The 20,949-nt window shown below is 40.0% G+C and overlaps 2 gene segments (V, D, J or C) and 1 further gene, besides 8 other annotated features; all 3 read left to right on the forward strand.

The window, feature by feature from the left end:
• The window catches only part of TRA (T cell receptor alpha locus), a 930,229-nt gene that overhangs the window by 596,905 nt on the left and 312,375 nt on the right, over positions 1 to 20,949 (forward strand).
• Positions 3,088 to 3,133: a sequence feature (TRAV35 leader sequence).
• TRAV35 (T cell receptor alpha variable 35) lies at positions 3,088 to 3,667 on the forward strand. The segment is given in 2 exon segments: positions 3,088 to 3,133; positions 3,384 to 3,667. Coding segments are annotated over 2 exon segments (330 nt in total), but the record flags the coding sequence as incomplete, so codon positions are not given.
• Positions 3,384 to 3,391: a sequence feature (TRAV35 leader sequence).
• Positions 3,675 to 3,697: a recombination feature (spacer).
• Positions 3,698 to 3,706: a recombination feature (nonamer).
• Positions 7,954 to 8,005: a sequence feature (TRAV36DV7 leader sequence).
• Positions 7,954 to 8,446, forward strand: TRAV36DV7 (T cell receptor alpha variable 36/delta variable 7). The segment is given in 2 exon segments: positions 7,954 to 8,005; positions 8,159 to 8,446. Coding segments are annotated over 2 exon segments (340 nt in total), but the record flags the coding sequence as incomplete, so codon positions are not given.
• Positions 8,159 to 8,169: a sequence feature (TRAV36DV7 leader sequence).
• Positions 8,454 to 8,476: a recombination feature (spacer).
• Positions 8,477 to 8,485: a recombination feature (nonamer).

Below are 20,949 nucleotides of genomic sequence, written 5' to 3' on the forward strand. Positions count from 1 at the left end.
TTTGAGAACTTGAATTCTAGGGAAGCCCACTGGAGGCCACAGCCACTACAGAAATATAGAGGCCACAGCTTCCTGACATGCGGTGAGGCCACATCTCCACTCACTTCCTGTCAGTAGGTGTCACTTGAACAAATTTTCTCATGTCCTGGCCAGTCACCTGGAGCCTGGAGGCATGTCTTACTTTGCATACACCTCTGTCAAAATGCGTATCAGACAATTATGTTATAAATTGAATGTCTTAGGTGTTACAGAGTAGGTGTTGTGGAATGAATATTTGTGTATCCTCCAAAGCGCACTCTCTCTTTCTCTCACACACACACACATACATACCCCAAGGAAAGGCCATGTGATATCTCGATTTTAAACTTCCAGCCTCCAGAACTGTGAGATAACAAATTTCTCTTCGTTAAGCCACTCAGTGAGTGGTATATTGTTATGGCAGCCCAAGTAGACTAATACATTAGGTTATTCTGCTACTGACCCACCTTACTGAGCTAGACCTACTTTGGTCCCCACATGTCTCCCCAGGGACACTGTACGAAGCCTGGAGCTATGTCAGTTTTTCTGTACTCAAAAGTAGTGCCCTCCTATATTTACCTCTTGTTTGTTTTATTGGAGTTCCTGGCAGGTATCTCCCTTCTCTTTGAACTGTAAATAGAAATAATCCTTCTTTTTGAAGTAGGATTTTCTTTCTGAACAAGCTTATAATTTCCTACCATTGATCTTCTTGCATGGCAATTTCAATTAAAAAATCATTTGAATAATTATGTTAGAATACACAGCAACTATATTTCTTAGGTTAGTGTAGTTTGCAAACAAAAGGCATATATGTTTTCCTAGTAACCGCAATGTGTGTGTGTGTGTGTGTGTGTGTGTGTGTGTGTGTGTGTTTTAATTTCCCTACAAATCACTGCTAACAGCCAAGGAAAGCGAGGCTATATTCTGGAAGGCCTGGGAGATATAGTCCCCTGTATGTGTATGAAATCTGTTTGGAATCTCATGTACTATATTTAAAATTCATTTGTTACTTTCTATTATGTAATATATTCTCATTTGTTTCAACATACAAAAAATACTTTAAATCGATTATTTAAATGTATGTCATGTTCATCCCAGAGCTTAATGTCACCCTTCATACATTCATACACTACTACTTGGCTTATTCTTCTTGAGGAGAGAGAAATGTATTGCCAGTATTCTCAATAGGTACACTTTCAAGGCTGAGACAGCAGGGCTCATGAAGAACTGGAACAATATAAACCATTGCCGAGACTGCAACAGCAACCATGATGATCTCAAGGAGGCGACAGATCTAATGGTAATGGGAAAACACACCCTTGAGGAATCAGTGAGCCCCTGCAGCTCCCTGTCATCTCTGTGCCTCCCACATTCCATTAAGAGAATATAGAAGGAATGCATTTTTCATCTGAATTAAGGTGTTTTGCTTTCTGTTTATTGTTTCTTTATTTTCCAAAAATATGTTTTTCAATAAAATCTGGCAGTGATTAAAAAGAAAAAAAGCAACATAAGATTGTATTTTTATTTGGTGGAAAGCAGCAATTCATTTTAGGTAACATGCCACCACATAACAGGAATAGAGAAGGTAAGAAAGGTAAATATACATACAGAAGTAAGTCATGGGCAAACCTAAACAACTAAGAAAAAATTAGCAATGAAATTAAAAGGAGAAAAATGCCCAGGGAGGCAGAAATAGATTTTCCTGCTCTCCTACGTCTAAAGAGCACAATGAGATACAAAACACAAATGCCAGTAGATGGCAGAAGCTATTTACCTAAATCAGGATTGAGGCTATGAGGCATAGCTTAGACACTCAGTCCAGATCCTAGGCATTTGAAACTCCAAGTTGCAGAATCAATTTTGATCTTAAAAACCAAACTTCTTCAAAATTCCCTTCTGTAAAAGTGAGGTTTGCTACTATTCAAAGTTTTATTTGCTTCTTAAAGAATAGCCAGAATGTTCCTACCACTGTGTTGATAAGCAAAGGTAACATTGCCTCTATCAGGGGCTTTTTCTCTTTTATTTAAGTCTCTGCCTTTTATGTCAAGGGATTCTTTTAATGTCTAATGATCCTGGGATGCTCATTCATACTTAGTAGGATACAAATCTGAGATTCAAGCAAAGAAAAATGGCTCCAGTTCCTGTTTTTAAATACTTCTTCACTTCACTCTCAACTAAGCCTGATAGCCCAGAATTTCATGTTATTTATTCAATATCTTCAGAAAAATAGTCTTTTTTCCACAAAAGTGGTTGGAAAGGAGTGGACACCTGACTATTCCAGGTCAAATGGGAAATCTGAGAGTATAACTGCAATTTATTCAATTTTACTTTGCATTTTCTCTATAAAGTCTCCTACCCCTACCCTCTCTCTGATTTTCTGAGGTACCAGGTATCCTACTCACTAAGACTTCTGGTGCACCTGAATTTTTGTTGGCATTTGCTTCTGTGGGACCTTAGAATTTGCCTTTCTTCAGTTCATTTAAGTCAGTTACCACTTGTTCATTCACCTGCATTTTCCAAAACATCTCACATGCTGTTATCCTTTGCCTGTTCTATGTGTCCTTTGGGGTTCATAACTTTTAAAAACATTTTTACTCTCATTTCACCAGGTACTCAGAAAGGAATAGAGAAGTATGTTTCCAATTCACCATACTTAATTATCAGTCTAGCCTTCACTGATATTTCAGAGCAATTATAAGGTGCCCAGGGGCAGAGTTTCCATCTGTCTTGTTCATGTCTCCATATTTCTCTAATATATAGTGAATACTCATTAAGTGTGTTCATCAAGTGAAACGGAGAAATAGAAGAAACTGAAAAAGTGGCATGAAAGGACAAAAATTTAGCATTTCACCATATGGGGGCAGTGTCTCTATTCATAGCTAACCTTCAAGGTTAGCTCAAAACCCTGGGAAAACATCTGGTAAGAGATCCGATTGGCTGATATCTGGAACAGAGATTTAAATTTCGTGGTAGTGTTTTTAGTGTCACTCTAAGCCCAAGAGAGTTTCTTGAAGCAAAAAAAAAAAAAAAAAAAAAACCCATTCAGGAAATAATTCTTTGCTGATAAGGATGCTCCTTGAACATTTATTAATAATCTTGTGGATGCAGCTGACATGTGAGTCTTGAGAGTTTCTGACTCTTCCATAGCGAATTCTAAAGGGAAGGAAATTCTGTGAGGGCAGGAGGTGAGGCTTTATCAGAGACTATGAAAAGAGGAAAACAGAAGGAAAAAAGCTAGAGAAGGAGGGAGGAAAGGAAAGACACAGATGCAAGGCTGGGAAGTTTGGTGATATAGTGTCCAACACAGCTCTGAAAAAGGTGATCTAAAGATAACCTTAACCACCTTCTTTTCTCTTTCTAAACAGGGGTCAGTGGTCAACAGCTGAATCAGAGTCCTCAATCTATGTTTACCCAGGAAGGAGAAGATGTCTCCATGAACTGCACTTCTTCAAGCATATTTAACACCTGACTATGGTACAAGCAGGACCCTGGGGAAGGTCCTGTCCTCTTGATAGCCTTATATAAGGCTGGTGAATTGACCTCAAATGGAAGACTGACTGCTCAGTTTGGTATAACCAGAAAGGACAGCTTCCTGAATATCTCAGCATCCATACCTAGTGATGTAGGCATCTACTTCTGTGCTGGGCAGCACAGTGCTCCCCAAACACCTGCAGCCTGTACTCAAACTTGCAGCTGGAACTCTAGTCTCTATGCTGCCTTCAGCTCTTAGTCCTCTTGGCATGAAATGTGATTATGCATGCCACCTTTGCCACTGCCATTCTGTCACCACAAACTCTCCTTTATCCAAGGATTTGTCCTCCAAAGATTGTGCTCTTTGCTTGATGAACTTGCCCCTCTCAATTCATTTTTAGTGTATGTAATAGATTTTCTTAGTTATTTCTGCCACGATATGAGGAGAATTGATCAACACACAGTTACAGTAGAAGATTTTAATAAGTATCTCTTTTAAAATGGATGATATCAATAAAGTAAAAATGAGAGTCCAGAAATAAATCCATAAATCTATAGCCAATTTATTCCAACAAGATCATTCAATGGGAAAAGAATAGTCTTTTCGACAAGTGGTGCTGGGACCACTGGATAGCCACAGTTGGATCTCTACTTCACATATGTACAAAAGTTAACTCAAATGGATTAAAGACCTAAATGTAAGATCTAGAAGTACAAACACTTAGATGAAAACATAGTTGTAAATCTTGGCCACCTTGGACTATGCAACAATCTCTTATATACAACATCAAAAAAAGCAACTGAAGGAAAAATAGATAAATTGGGCATTATCAGAATTTAAATCTTTGTGCATCAAAATTCGCAAAATATTCCACAAAGGAAAATGAAAAGATAACCCACATAATAGAAGAATATATTTGCAAGTCATGTTTATCTGATAAGGATCTAATATCAAGAATATATATTTTAAACTCTTACAATTTAACACTAAGACAAATGCCAATTTTAAAACGGTCAAATGATTTAAACCATCATTGCTCCAAAGAAGACACACAAATGGCCAAAAAGCATGAAAAAAAAGATGCTCAACATTATTATTCATTGGGAAAATGCAAATTAAACCACAATGAGCTGCCACATCACACCCACTAGGATGTTCATAATTTTTCAAAAAGGAAGAATAAGAAAGAGAAATGTAAAATTCTAAGTGTTGGTAAGGACGTGGGGAAATTGGAATCCTCATCCACCACTGGTAGGAATGTAAAATAGTACAGACACATTAGAAAATAGTTTGGCAATTTCTCAAATGACTAAACACAGAGTTACCATTTGACCCAGCAATAATAGTCCTAAATATCTACTTAAGAGGTCGAACATGTGATTTATTTCATTGGCCAGAACCACATCATATGGCCAGTACTAATTGCAAGGGAGGTAGAGAAAGGGAGCATTTAATTTGTCTAGCCTCTAAAAAAGACATGAGCATGAAAGATGTCAATTGCAGATAAAAGTGTTGGTTTAACTATCCAAAAACATCTGCCACATCATACTAGGTCCTCATTCCCCAGAAGAGACTCTGATGATACATCTTGATATTCTTATTACTGTTATTACCCTAACAGCATGTGCCAAAGGAAGCTGAAGTCTGTTAAGAGCTCTACAGAGCTCTTCAAATGTAGTATTGTTTTTGCTCCAAAAAATATACTGTAGGTTTTCTTCCTTGCAACTGTCCTGTGGGAAATCAATATCTCTCAAGAGGCATCAGCTGATGTTTCAGAGGAATGATGGTCCACTGCCCCTGATACTGATATGCGCAGTTCCAGGCAGTTCTTAAAGCTAGTCGCTTTAACGCCTCACAGAGATCATCATGTTCTTAAACATCGATACGGAATTCACTTCCATCTCCCTGAGAAGCAGTCCCCTGAAGACCCAGCACAATATTTCCGTGGGTCCCACATGTGCATATGACATAACCCTCAAAATCCTAGGGATGTTTTAATTGAGGTAATACTTTTACAGCTATTTATAGGATCTCTAGCACAATTCTTTTCTCAGGAACTTAAAAAATGGGTATTAGCTAACCATGAGTAACCATGTTTCCTTCTCCCTTCCCCATTCCCATTCAGCTGTATGTAGGCAAATCTACCATCCCAACTTTCTCGATGTTGAAGCTATGATTTATTTTATAGCAGGCTTTCTATTTTATTTTATTTTTAAACTTTTATTTTAGGTTCAGGAATACATATGCAAGTTTGTTATGTAGGTAACCTGCATGCCACGGGGGTTTGGTGTATGGATTATTTCATCACCCAGGTAATAAGCATAGTACCTGACATGTTTTTCAATACTCACCTTCCTCCCACCCTTCATCCTCAAGAAAGCCTGGGTGTCTGTTGTTCCCTTCTTCGTGTCCATGTGTACTCAATGTTTAGCTCCCGCATAGAAGTGAGAACATGTGATATTTGGTTTTCTTTCCCGTGTTAATTTGTTTAGAATAATGGCCTTCAGCTCCATCCATGTTGCTGCAAAGGATGTGATCTCATTCTTTCTTATGGCTGTGTAGCATTCCATGGTGTATATGTATCACATTTTCTTTATCCAGTCTACCATTGTTGGGCATTTAGGTTGACTCCATGTCTTCGTTAGTGTGAATAGTGCTGTGATGAACATAGGTGTGCATATGTCTTTATGGTAGAAAAATTTATATTCCTTTAGGTATATACCCAACAATGAGATTGCTGGGTCAAATAATAATTCTATAGAAGGCTTTTTAAAGTGTGGGCTAGTATTGAAGGTAAAGATTGCCTTATTCAGTTCTGTATGCTCCTCTGTTCCTGGCACAAAGAAGACAGTCAATTAAAAATGTTTACATGAGAGGCCGGGCACAGTGGCTCATGCCTGTAATCCCAGCACTTTGGGAGGCCGAGGCGGGCAGATCACAAGGTCAGGAGTTCAAGACCATCCTGGCCAACATGGTGAAACCCCGTCTCTACTAAAAATATAAAAAAAAAATTAGCTGGGCGTGATGATGCGCACCTATAGTCCCAGCTACTTGGGAGACTGAGGCAGGAGAATCACTTGAATCCAGGAGGCAGAGGTTGCAGTGAGCCGAGATCACACCACTGCACTCCAGCCTGGTGACAGAGCAAGACTCTGTCTCAAAAAAAAAAAAAAGTTACATCAATTAAGGGGCAAGATGCTAATTAATTCTCATATCTGTGCCTCTGTGCCACCCAGAAATGCAGAAGGAAGCTTATAAACAAAAAACAGTGGGTTAAATTATCTGACCTTCATGGGGACAGTACAAACTATATTCATAAGCAGTAATAGAACATGGCATTATTTACTTTATTGTGGTGTTGTCACATCATCAGTCTCTTACTTCATGTTTCTGGGTTTTGTTTCTTGCTTAAGATCTAGAGAATTAGGCCACTTTATCATTGTCACAAAAAAAGTAGTCTTGGAAACCAAGCGATCCATCACTTCCTCTCAACTGGGCAATTCAGCTTTTCTGGAATGCAAATATGTTTGTCTTCACCTTGAGATTTGAACTTTCTAATTAGTAATTCTTTTTCTTAGTGATCATAAAGATCAAGCAAGAAAGTACTAGTCTTCCTAGACTTGAACACTACCTACATAGATTATATGTATTTTACTAAAAATAGACATTCCTAGACGATGACAAGAAAACTATGTAATAACATTTATGGAATGGAATGCAACCAAAGCTATACTCCAAGTATACTAGCGAAGGCCAAACTATTCTAACAAATATATGCCAAACGTTCAGAGGCTTAATGAACAAAGTTTGTCTTTCTTGTGAAAATCTGGAGCAGATATTCCAGGTCAGCAGATGACTCTGCCTTACATGATCTTTGAGGAACTGAGGTTATTCTCATTTGGGGACTCTGCTATTTCTCAGAGACTTACCATCATATGCAGGGTCATGGCCTGGCTATGCCAGGTTTCACTTAGCAAGGAGATGAACGAGTGGGTATGGAGCAGGCATGACCATTCCCTTAAGAATCATGGACAAGAAATAATAGAATTACTGACTCCTAAGATTATGGACAGCTTTGGGTAGCCTGTCCTTCAATGGTAAGACAATTTTAGAAGTATCTACCATCTTTCATAAAACATGTGGACACTAGTTTTCAGCTATTCTGCACCAGCTCACAAGATGGCGGTGTTCTATTTTGAATGACTTCCATGGGTGATTGAGTGGGAGGGATTTGAATTTAAATAGAACCAAATGACACTTTTTTTAATGGTTGGCTGAATTGCCAAATTGCTATTTCCCTTTTTCTGAGTGTGTGTCTGTGTCCGTGTGTGTGCATGTGTGTGTGCACGCACGCGCACACAGGCAGACGCTAGGGGTAGAGTGTGATGGTTCAAAAAGAAAAGGAAACGCTTAAAGGTAGTGAATCACGTTTTGCCCAGGAAAACACACTTGATAACTGAAGGATGATGAAGTGTCCACAGGCTTTACTAGCTATCTTTTGGCTTCTACTGAGCTGTAAGTAGGGTTACTACAAAGGGTCAGGGGCAACCAGGAAACCTGAGGATTGATCCTCAGAACACTAAAAGGGTAAAGTAGACTTCGTTCTGACTTATTGTCTGGGAGCCCTGTGGTTCCAACGGTGAATAATTATCACATTTTTCTACACAGGGGTGAGCAGTGAAGACAAGGTGGTACAAAGCCCTCTATCTCTGGTTGTCCACGAGGGAGACACCGTAACTCTCAATTGCAGTTATGAAGTGACTAACTTTCGAAGCCTACTATGGTACAAGCAGGAAAAGAAAGCTCCCACATTTCTATTTATGCTAACTTCAAGTGGAATTGAAAAGAAGTCAGGAAGACTAAGTAGCATATTAGATAAGAAAGAACTTTTCAGCATCCTGAACATCACAGCCACCCAGACCGGAGACTCGGCCATCTACCTCTGTGCTGTGGAGGCACAGTGCTCCCTAGTCACCTGCAGCCTGTACTCAAATTCTACAGCTGAGGCTCTGCAACTGTAAGATGGGGAACTTGCTACATTGAGCAAGCCCTCAAAAATAAACTATACGGAAAAGCAGTTATTGGTCAAAATCCTTGTGCCTATGTTGACAATTACTTTTGCAGTTTACTGAATCCTAACTCAGAGTCATATCGCTGCATTCACTACTTTCTCTGTGAGTTTTCTATGGGATTCAGCATAGCTAATATTTCTAGAGGGTCACTCAGGATACTAACTCCATTGCCACACCATTATGCTCTGTGGTAGAAAGCAAGCCCTTTTATCAGGATTGTACAGGCAACTGATATGTGCACTACACATTAGGGAATCTACCTAACAGCTATGGATGTTTTAGCTTCTTTCCCAGGACAGGCACATTTATAGGTAAAGTTCTGCCTATAACATTTTTTTCTGGACCTACTAGCAAAGAACAAAGGGTAGGAACAAGCAGGTATCATTACCTGATTAAAACAAAAGGTTTTCATTCTCAGTTGCATTATTCTTACTTACTATCTTCATTTTAGGATTGTTGCCTATGCTAGGTACTTCATTAAAGTGGTGATAGAATTTTTCAAGATATTACACATTAATTTGTGTACTTAGAACCTTAAGCAGCCTACGAAAAGAAAGGAGTTAGTTGAAGTAAGTTATGTGAAGCTAACATAAACTTAGCCTACTTATGTTGTGATACACTCTTTCAATGAATTATGTAATCATATGTATGGTATTTACAAAGAGCTTGCAATGGAAGCTACCATTTATTGAAAGCAAGTATTATGTACCTTGTATTTTGCAAATATCATCTCATTGAATTCTCAAAATCACTTTGATAAATCATCAATATTACTTTCTGTTAACATATTAGGAAATGCAGACTCAGAAAGATTAAGCCCCCTTCCCCACCTCCTACCCCAGACAAATAACTATAACAGAATCTGAAATCAGGTCTATGACTCCAAACTATACTTTGTCTATTACATGCCCTGATGTTAAACATCACTGAGGAGAAAATTTACCCACAGTGTGACCACAATTATGTGTAAAAAATGTACACAAAATACGAAAATAATGTGTTCAACATGTAAATAAAATAACATTTGCAATAATATGTGAATAAAATAACTCCAAAAGTTTGCAACAGTATTAGTTATCTTTGAATACTGAACTTAATACTGTTCATTGTTTTACTCCTTTATAATATTCTTTATTTTTCAGATTATCTACTATGAACTCAATACTATTATTATTTCAGAAAGAAAAATATACATTTTAAAATACCAAAATCCAAGTAGGCTGAACTGCATTATATGATAATTATCTGACACTCACAGTAGCTTAATTACAATGAGGAATAGACATGACTATACATAGCCAAATGATACAGCATTAAAACAAGATTTTTGATTGCTAGCTCTTCAAATCACTGTAGACTAGTGCTCTCTTCAATTGGGAATGTTTTAAAATTACAAGAAGACCTATTTCTCCTGAGAATTTATTTGAATGACTGTCCTATGGGTAGAATGCTTTAATATCCCATCTCTGTGTAGGAGAGGACAGGCAGTAAAGGCCACCCGTGCTTGTGAGTTCATTAGACAATTCATTGCAAATTGGGCATGGTTTAGGTTTCACTGTCTGGGAAATGGGGAGATAGCCTGAGAAAAGGGCAGGTAAACATTCAAAGAGGAGGGGAAGAAACAGTATAAAAATTAATAGAATGTATCCTGCCATTTTTAGCCTGCACAGTCTTCTGTCCATTTTCCTTTCTCCTTTCTATCTGCATCAAAACCCAGAAATCACACAGTGGATATAAGAGGAAACTCTGACAGTCATTTATTTAAGACTGAAAAATAGAGCGGGAAACCCTATGCAAGATGCCCAGTGTGTCTGGCTCTGCGGTGTGAAGAGTTTATGATTTAGAAGCCAGAGATTTAGCTGTCTTTGATGGGAATGTGCAGTTGGAAGGGGGAAGTTTCTTTTTTCACTCTTTATTGTTTCCTATCCTAATGAGAACCAAACAATTTACATCTCAAAAGATCAACCTGTCACCAAAATAACATGTATTTTAATGCTAAGACTAAATATCCATTTGTTATAAAAGAAAAAACAAATTAAAAAAAATTTATAACCTCAACCTACAGACATTACCACTATTAACTATTTAGCATTTTGCTTTCCATTTCACCTGTATCAATGAACATGAAAAAATAAGTCTGTAGAGATGTGGGGAATTCAACTTATTTCAAACAAAGAGTGTTTCTCAAAGTCACTGCAAAAATAGGTGTTTCTGTTCCTTAAAAAAATCTACATGGTTAAGATCCTCCCACTTTTGACCTGTGAGTTGTGATAAAAAGCTTCCAGAAAACTCATCTCAGTGACTTGATTATGAAATGCTACCAGTTTGAAGCAGTCACTGAAAAACATAAGGTCATAAATCAGGAATCCAGAAGAAACAATGAATAGCAACTTTATCTTCACTTCACTTCTAACACTGGCTCTCCAAGGTAACAGCCCTATCCTGTACCCAGAGTGGCCCTTCTGGAGAAGGTGGCTGGTTTGACCTATGACTGTTGAGTGTTTTACATTACAGGGTCTGGGAGAGCAGACTGGATCAAGCCCCAGGAGACAGAAGTATCTGGAACAGAAGGGAAGACTGTGAACCTACTTTGTAACTATGGTACATCATCGGGGAGCTATCTTGATCTCTGCTGGTTTTGACAGTATCCGAGCCAGGCATCAGAATACATTCTCTACAGAGGGTGGGGATATTCTGGAAAAGGAGATGCCAGTTTTGCCATAGGAAAGTTTATTCAAAGAGTACAGCAAATGCAATAAATGTGTACATTAGAAATCTGGTTCCTGCAGACACTGCCTTATATTACTGTGTGCTGAGATGCACAAAAAGAACACTTTCTAGGGGTGTCATACAAAAACACCAGCGCACAGGAGGAAGGAGAGCATTTGTTATAACCACACTGATTTTTTTTTTTTTTTTTTTTTGCAAAGGCGTCATTGTAAGTGGAAGACACTGGATCAGGAGAATTCTGCTTTAATAATAGCTATATATAGTAATTTGTAGGCAAATAGCTTGAGCTTTTAGAGTTTCCATTTCCTGAAATTAGATAGCAATTCTAATTTGTAAGCTTTTATGAGACATGGTTTTAACACTTGGATTAAGTGCCTAGCATGTCCTACATGCTCAGCAAATGGCAAATATCTTTTCTTGCTCTCCCTCTCTGTCTAACTACTTTGACCTCAAAGGACCCTTCTTTCACTATCTGAGAATCTTCTATATACTCCTACTGGTAAAATAATAACAACAATAACAATAATAATAATAATAACCCTAAAAACATACATGCAAGACCTAGATAGAGAAGGCTTCTTTGCCCAGGGATCAATGGTCATTGTGCCAGGATTTTAAAAGTGTATGCTCAGCAAATCCAACAATCAGAGGACAAAAGGACCCCGAGACACTAGCTCCTGAGTTCATAGACCAGGGCAGTTGGGCATTTATCGTGATCTGAACAAGAACAGGAGAGAGTTCCTCACAAGACTAAAGAGAAGAGAAAGACATTTAGCATTAGGTGGGTGGTGGGAGAGAAGAGAGAAATTCTTGGGAAGACTACAGCCATGTTCTGGTGTCAGATCTGACCTCCCTAGATGGAGAAGAGAGGCCAAGTGAGGCAGTGGGTCCTCAGCCCACCTGGTAGAGGAAGAGGGCACCTGCCACTTCCTGCACTGGTTCAAACTACACTCCTAACAGAATCCTATCATTTAATCTGGATGTGAGCAAAGCCTAGCATCTTTGTTTGGACTGGTGATAGATGAAAGGTAAAAGAGGAAGGAAGATTTAATTTAGAGCCTTATTCAATAGTCTGCAGCAGCACTAGCACCTTACTGCTTGCAGGCCGGAAACCTCAAGGTCTAGCAGTTCACAGTGAAGCCTGCACCACACTGGCTGCTGAGTAACTGCCCCAGTCACTAGGAGGGCTTGGAAATCAGACAGCAAATGACACCTTAAAAAATATGTATAAGGCCATTCTTGCACTGTTATAAAGAAATACCTGAGACTGTGTAATTTATAAAGAAAAGAGGTTTAATTGGCTCATGGTTCTGCAGGTTTTACAGGAAGCATGGTGCTGGCATCTGGTTGGCTTCTCAGAAGGCCCCAGGAAGCTTATAATCATGGTGGAAGGCAAAGGGGGAGCAGGCATGTCACATGGCCAGAGCAGGAGCAAATGAGAGAGAGTGAGGGGGAAGATGCAACACACTTTATTTAAACCAGATCTTGTGAGAACTCACTCACTAAAGCAAAGACAGCACCAAGCCATAAGGGATCCCACCTCCATGATACAAACACCTCCCCCCAGGCCCCACCTCTAGCACTGAGGAATACAATTCAACATGATTTGGATGGGGACAAATATCCAAACTATATCATTCCACTCTTGATCCCTCCTAAGTCTCATCTCCTTCTCACATTGCAAAACACAATCATACCTTCCCAATAGTCCTCCAAAGTTTTAACAAATTCCAGAATTAACTCAAAAGTCCCAAGTCTCATCTGAGACAAGTCAAGCTTTTCCACCAATGAGTCTGTAAAGTCAAAAACAAGTTATTTACTCCCAAGATATAATGTGAGTATACACATTGGGTCAACATTCCCATTTCGAAAGGGAGAAATTGGCCAAAAGAAGGGGCCACAGGTCTCATACAAGTTCAAAACCCAGCAAGGCAGCCATTAAATCTTAAAGCTCCAAGATAATCTCCTTAGACTCCATGTCTCACATCCAGGACACACTGGTTCAAGAGGTGGGCTCCCAAGGCGTTGGGCAACTCCACCTCTGTGGCTTTGCAGGGTGCCACCCCCACAGCTTCTCTCATAGGTTGTTGAGTGTCTGGCTTTTCCAGACACAGGGTGCAAGCTGCCAGTGGATGTACTATTCTGGGATCTGGAAGATGGTGACCCCTTTCCCACAGCTCTACTAGGCAGTGCTTCAGTGAGGATTCTGTGTGGGGCCTCCAACTCCTATTTCCCCTCCACACTGCCCTAGTAGAGGTTATTTGTGGGGGCTCTCCCCATGCAGCAGTCTTCTGCCTTGGCACCCAGGCTTTCTCATACATCCTTTGAATCTAGGTGGAGGCTGCCAAGCCTCTTTCACTCTTACATTGTGTGTGCCTGCAGGCTTAACACCACATGGAAGCTGCCCAGAGTTATGGCTTGCACCCTCCAAAGTGGCAGCCTGAGATGTACCTGGGCCCCTTTGGGTCATAGCCAGAGTGGCCAGGATGTGGGGAGCAGTGTCTTGAGGCTGTGCAGGGCAGCAGAGTCCTGGACCTGGCCCCTGAAACCATTCTCTCCTCCTAGGCCTCAAGGCCTGTGATGGGAGGGGCTGCTGCAAACATCTCTGAAATGCCTTTGAAGCCTTTTCCCCATTGTCTTGGCTATCTGGCTGTCTTTTAGTTATGCAAATATCTCTGGCAAGCAGTTGCTTTGAGGCTTGCTTGAATTCCTTTCCTGAAAAATCTTTTTCTTTCTCTCCCACATGGCTAGGCTACAAATTTTCCAAACTTTTACACTCTGCTTTTTAAAATACAAGTTCTAGCTTTAAGCCATTTCTTTGCTACTGCATCTGAGCATAGGTTATTAGAAGCAGCCAGGTCACCTCTTGAATGCTTCACTGCTTAGAAATTGCTTCCACCAGATATACTAAATTATCACTCTGAAGTTCAAACTTCCACAAATCCCTAGGGCAGGGGCACAATGCAGCCAAGTTTGTTGCTAAGGAATAGCATGGGTGACATTCGCTCCAATTGCCAATAAGTTCCTCATTTCCATCTGAAATTTCATCAGCCTGGCCTTCATTGCCCATATCACTATCAGCATTTTGGTCACAATCATTTAACCAGTCTCTAAGAGGTTCCAAATTTTCGCTCATCTTCCTGTCTTCTGAGCCCTCCAAATTTCTCAGACCTCTGCCTGTTACCTGGTTCCAAAGCTGCTTCCACATTTTCAGGTATCTTTATAGTAATGCCCCACTTCTCAGTACCAATTTGCTTTATTAGGCCTTTCATGCACCACTATAAAGAAATACCTGAAACTTGGTAATTTATTTAAAAAAAAGGTTTAATTGGCTTATGGCTCTTCAGGCTTTACAGGAAGCATGGTGCTGGCATCTGGGGAGGCCTAAGGAAGCTTTCAATCATGACAGAAGGCAAAAGGGGAGCAGGCATGTCACATGGCCAGAACAGACACAAGACAGAGAGAGTGAGGGGGAGGAGCCACACACTTTTAAATGACTAGATCTTGTGAGAACTCACTCACTATTGCAAAGACAGCACCAAGTCATGAGGGATCTGCCCTCATGATCCACATATTTCCCCCCAGGCCCCACCTCCACCATTGGGGATTATAATTCAACATAAGATGTGGGTTGGGACAAATATGCAAATAATATCACAATAATTTCTTTTATAAAAAAGTGAAAAATACTTTTATTAGAGAATAATTTTCAAAGATCTGTTTAAAACTAACTTTTAAAAACAATGAACTATGGGAAACATTCACTAATGCATAAAATAAAATATGTAATCTTTTTCATTTTCAGTTTGTGCAAAGTTATTTTCACACCCTGCTGGTAGCAACACAATATATTGGTACAATCTTTTACACAGTGAATTACTTGGAAAGGGATTTTGAGATTCATTAAACAGTTCATGCCTTTGAACTGTTTGAAACTGAATGAACACCTTTGATCCATTTCTCAGAATTTATATTAAAGATTGATTTTAAGTAGAAAAAACCCTCTAGGCAAGAAAATAGTAAAAATTTCTCAACCAGTTAGAGGAATTTGGATGGCAACTTGACTGAATACTTTACAACTATTTAATGAGTTAATAATACTAAAAACATAGTAATGCTCTTGACATACAGTTAGAGAAAACATAGAGTTCCTATAATAACCATATGCTCACACTAATATCGAATGAATGAAGCACATAGATAAAAACTGGAAGTTTTGATGCAAAACTGAAAGTATGAAATTATTTAGTGTATGTACTTGCAATATTTTAATTTTTATTTTTTTCATGGAATAACTGTGAACTTGTGCCTACAATAAATAACATTTTAAAAATTCTCTTGACTCCAAATGTTGTAGCTAGTGGAAAAACAAACAAACAAGGATCTCAACCCCAGCTCTGTGCCTCAGCTGTTTCTCCTTTCTTCAACTCTGGGGCATCAATTTTCTGGTTCCCTTCCCTTAACTAAGTCCTCTTCTTCATTATTCCCCAAGACCTGCTGACAGAAACTCTGCTGAAATATTATTTGTGTCTCAAACCTATCTTTGATATGGGCAAATAAGGAAAAAACTATTTTCAGTTCTTTTCTATTTTCTCTGCAGTAGACTCAGTAGCTAGAAGATTGAGCTGATTGTACCAAAAATTAAGAATTCTTCATTGACATCACATGGGAAAACCATCTCTGGTTTTCCAAGAAGGAAGATTAGGTAAGGCTATATACCTTGTCATTTTTTTTAAGTTGGAACATTAAAGATAAAGCTTAAGTCCTCTCTGCTCATGTTTTCATCTGTTCTCTTTTCCCAGAGCTAAATGTTGCTCTGGGTTTGTGAAAGGAAATTAAATCTTGGGACCCCAAACTCATTGAGCCAAAGGGAAAAGTTAAGCTGCGAACTGGGCCATGCAAACCTGCCTTGCCCTTTCAGTTCCTACATAAGATGGCTACAAGATGAAAAGCTACATGACTCCACCATATTTTGCCCACAAGGAAATTCCTAGTGAGCTGCAAGATCTTTACCCTATAGTGTCTCTGTTAAAATTTCACCTTGGAAGGCCGGGTGCGGTGGCTCATGCCTGTAATCCCAGCACTTTGGGAGGCCGAGGTGGGTGGATCACGAGGTCAGGAGACTGAGACCATCCTGGCTAACGTGGTGAAACCCCATCTCTACTGGAAATACAAAAAATTAGCCAGGCATGTGGCGGGCGCCTGTAGTCCCAGCTACTCGGGGGCTGAGGCAGGAGAATGGTGTGAACCTGGGAGGCGGAGCTTGCAGTGAGCCAAGATCGTGCCACTGCACTCCAGCCTGGGCAACAGAGTGAGACTCTATCTCAAAAAAAACAAAAAACAAAAAAAAATTTCGCCTTGGCAATGTAAACTGATAGCTTATTATCTTTACAGGTGCAGTCAACCCCTGTCCACCAGACATAAATACACATCTGATTGTTCCCCTGCCCCATTTTGCCTATGTTATCTTGTGTAAAAATGCAAATTCCCTGCATTTTTCCTCTGCCCCATTTATCTATGTCATCTTATACAAAAAAAAAAAAGCAGATTCACTAAGCCAGACAAAGGCATGAATAACTATTTTTCCCTACCCTTCTCTTACCTAAAAATTGTATACTTCTCAATATCCCACCCTTTCCCCTTTAAATCTGGAGCCCTCAAAATCATCTTCGGAGAAAGTCATAGACCTGTCTCCTGGGCACACATCCTTAACTTTGGCAAACAAACCTAAAATGATTGAGACTTGTCTCACCATTTTTCTCAATTGACACGTTTATAATTTACATTTTAAATTCTTTATCTTTATTAATACGCACATATAAATGTACATACTCATGGGAAATATAAACTATGATTTTATGGCATTTTTTAACTAAATGTTACATATGATATGTTTTTCTCCACAATTTCCTTTCATTTTACTCAACAAAATAGACTTGAAGACTAGCCAGGTTGATAGAGATCATCTCATTTCCTTTTAATTCATGTAAAGTAAATCATTCTATCAATATGCTATATTTAATAATACTGATAGTAATAATATTATTTCTCCACAAAGTAGACAACTAAGGTTCAGAAAGATTAATTTGCCAAGGTCACATAATTAGTAAGTGGCAGAATGAAAGACAAATCAAATCTTCTGACTTTAGAAAGTTCTTCTGTCTTTCTCATTTCCAACATGTTTAGTGGCAAGAGAAAGGTTTTCTTCACAGAAACCTAATATCCCAAGCAAATTTGTATGTAGGATTTCTCTTGAAAATTACCTCTCACTTGGCTCTGTTCTTATGGCTATTAGGCAATAAATACTAATAATAAAAATAAAAATAACAAAAACCCCTCTCTCCCATATTTTGGAAATTTTTCAATGCAACACAATGGTCAATGTTGTTCATTTTTTCCCTCATTTCTTTGTCTCCAACCAAAGAAGCATATCTCTATTTTAATTACTCAACAGTGGGGAATCAAACTGATTGGGATATAAACCTAGGCATTTGAGCTGGCAATGGCTACCCTCTTTGGGTCCCCTCCCTTTGTATGGGTGCTCTGTTTTCACTCTATTTCACTCTATTAAATCTTGCAACTGCACTCTTCTGGTCCATGCTTGTTATGGCTTGAGCTGAGCTTTCGCTCACCATCCACCACTGCTGTTTGCCACCATCGCAGACCTGCTGCTGACTTCCATCCCTCCAGATCTGGCAGGGTGTCTGCTGTGCTCCTGATCCAGCAAGGCGCCCATTGCCACTCCCAATTGGGCTAAAGGCTTGCCATTGTTCCTGCACAGCTAAGTGTCTGGGTTCATCCTAATCGAGCTGAAGAGTAGTCACTGGGTTCCACAGTTCTCTTCCATGACCCATGGCTTCTAATAGAGCTATAACACTCACCGCATGGCCCAAGATTCCATTCCTTGGAATCTGTGAGACCAAGAACCCCAGGTCAGAGAACACGAGGCTTGCCACCATCTTGGAAGTGGCCTGCCGCCACTTTGGAAGTGGCCCACCACAATCTTGGGAGCTCTAGAAGCAAGGACCCCCGGTAACATTTTGGTGACCATGAAGGGACCTCCAAAGTAGTGGTAATATTGGACCACTTTCACTCACTATTCTGTCCTATCCTTCCTTAGAATTGGAGGAAAATACTGGGCACCTGTCTGCCAGTTAAAAATGGTTAGCGTGGCCACCGGACTTAAGATTCAGGTGTGAGGCTATCTGGGGAAGAGCTTTCTAACAACCCCCAACCCTTCTGGGTTGGGGACGTTGGTCTGCCTGGAGCCAGCTCCCACTTTCAACTTTCTTGGGGAAGTGGAGGACTGACTAGAGGCAGAAAGCTCTCATCCAGAACTCCCAGCAGTAGCCGGTTGAGACCATGGCGCAGCCAGAAGTCTCTAGTCAACAGTCGCCCATACCTCCTGGGTCCCGACCACAACTTTCTTGAAAGTGTAGCCCCAAAATTCTCCTTACCTCTGAATCTACTTCCTCTGATCCCTGCCTCCTAGGTACTAATGGTTCAGACTTTCATTTCCTCTAGCAAGTTGTATCTCCAAAGGGATCTAAGGAAGCTCTACACTGTGTCCTTAGGCACTTAGGCTATAACCCAGGGAGTCTTATCCCTGGTGTCCCTCCCAATTTAGGTATACGGCTCTCAACATGGGCTGTTATGTGGGACACATTCCCCACCACCCTTGTCAGGGCCCCAAGTTTGTAATGGCTAAGAGAGAGAGACAGAGAGAAGACAGAGAGAGAGAGAGATGGAGAGAGAGAGAGACAAAGATGGAGAGAGAGACAAAGAGGGAGTCAAAGAGAAAAAGATAGAAATAGAAAAAGAAAAGTGTGCCCTGTTCCTTTAAAAGCCAGGGTAAATTTAAAACCTGTAATTGATAATTGAAGGTCTTGTCCATGACCCTATAACACTCCAATACTTTTTTATTTACACTTTGTTGTCAGTGTAAATAAGGGCTTAGCCCGAAAGCACTGAGGCCACTGACAACCTGTAGCTTTCCTATCAAAAATCCTTAACCCAGTAACCCACGGATGGGCCAAATGCATTCAGTCAGTACCGGCAACTGCTTTGCTAAAAGCAGAAAAGTAACTTTTAGAGGAAACCTCATTGTGAGCACACCTCACCAGTTCAGAATTATTCTAAGTCAAAAAAGCAAAAAGGTAGCTTACTAACTCAAAAATCTTAAAGTATGGGGCTATTCTGTTAGAAAAGGGTAATGTAACTCCAACCTCTGATAATTCCCTTAACCTAGCAGATTTCCTAACAGGGGATTTAAATCTTAATTACCATACAAAGGTCCGACCAGACCTAGGAAGAACTCCCTTCAGGACAGGATGATAGATGGTTCCTCCCAAGTGACTGAGGAAAAAACCACAATGGGTATTCAGTAATTGATAAGGAGACTCTTGCGGAAGCAGAGTTAGAAAAATTGCCCAATAGTTGGTCTCCTCAAATGTGCGAGCTGTTTGCACTCAGCCAAGCCTTAAAGTAATTACAGAATCAAAAGACTATCTCAATCCTGACTCAAAAGGTTACCTACACCCTCTCTGAAATGAATTTGCATAAGAACTGTTGTTTATGGGAATGCATCTTGATGGGGCAGCTGGGTTGTTATGAAATACTCAGGAAACTAGCCCAGATCTAGGACTCACCCCTGAGAGCAAAGGCAATGTTGGGCATGCTGGTAAAGGACCGCTAGAATCCAGCAGCCAGGACCACTTTCTTTGTGGTCAAGAAAGGTGGGAAAACAGGTGCAGGACTGCTACACTGGTAAGCATAACTAATCCGATAAGCAGAGGTCCATGGGTGGTTACGCACCCTGGAAAGGAATAAGCATTAGGACTATAGAGGACACTCTAGGACTAATGCTCATCGGAAAATGACTAGGGGTACTGGCATCCCTATGTTCTTTTTTCAGATGGGAAATGTTCCCCCCAAGGCAGAAATGCCCCTAAGATGTATTCTGGAGAAATGGGACCAATCTGACCATCAGACACTAAGAAAGAAATGACTTATATTCTTCTGCAGTACCACCTGGCCACGATATCTTCTTCAAGGGGCAGAAACCTGGCCTCCTGAGGGAAGTATAAATTATAACACCATCTTACAGCTAGACCTCTTTTGTAGAAAAGAAGGCAAATGGAGTGAAGTGCCATATGTACAAACTTTCTTTTCATTAAGAGATAACTCCCAATTATGTAAAAAGTGTGATTTATGCCCTACAGGAAGCCCTCAGAGTCTACCTCCCTACCCCAGCAAGACCCCAACTCCTTCTCCAACTAATAAGGACCCCCCTTCAACCCAAATGGTCCAAAAGGAGATAGACAAAGGGGTAAACAATGAACCAAAGAGTGCCAATATTACACGATTATACTCGCTCCAAGCAGTGGGAGGAGAATTTGGCCCAGCCAGCGTGCATGTACCTTTTTCTCTCTCAGATTTAAAGCAAATTAAAATAGACCTAGGTAAATTCTCAGATAACCCTGATGGCTATATTGATGTTTTACTAGGGTTAGGACAATCCTTTGATCTGACATGGAGAGATATAATGTTACTGCTAAATCAGACACTAACCCCAAATGAAAAAAGTGCTGCCATAACAGCAGCCTGAGAGTTTGGCGAACTCTGGTATCTCAGTCAGGTCAATGATAGGATGACAAC

The sequence above is a fragment of the Homo sapiens genome, chromosome 14 (genome assembly GCF_000001405.40).
Source record: "Homo sapiens chromosome 14, GRCh38.p14 Primary Assembly".
In the NCBI taxonomy this organism is placed as follows: Eukaryota; Metazoa; Chordata; class Mammalia; order Primates; family Hominidae; genus Homo; species Homo sapiens.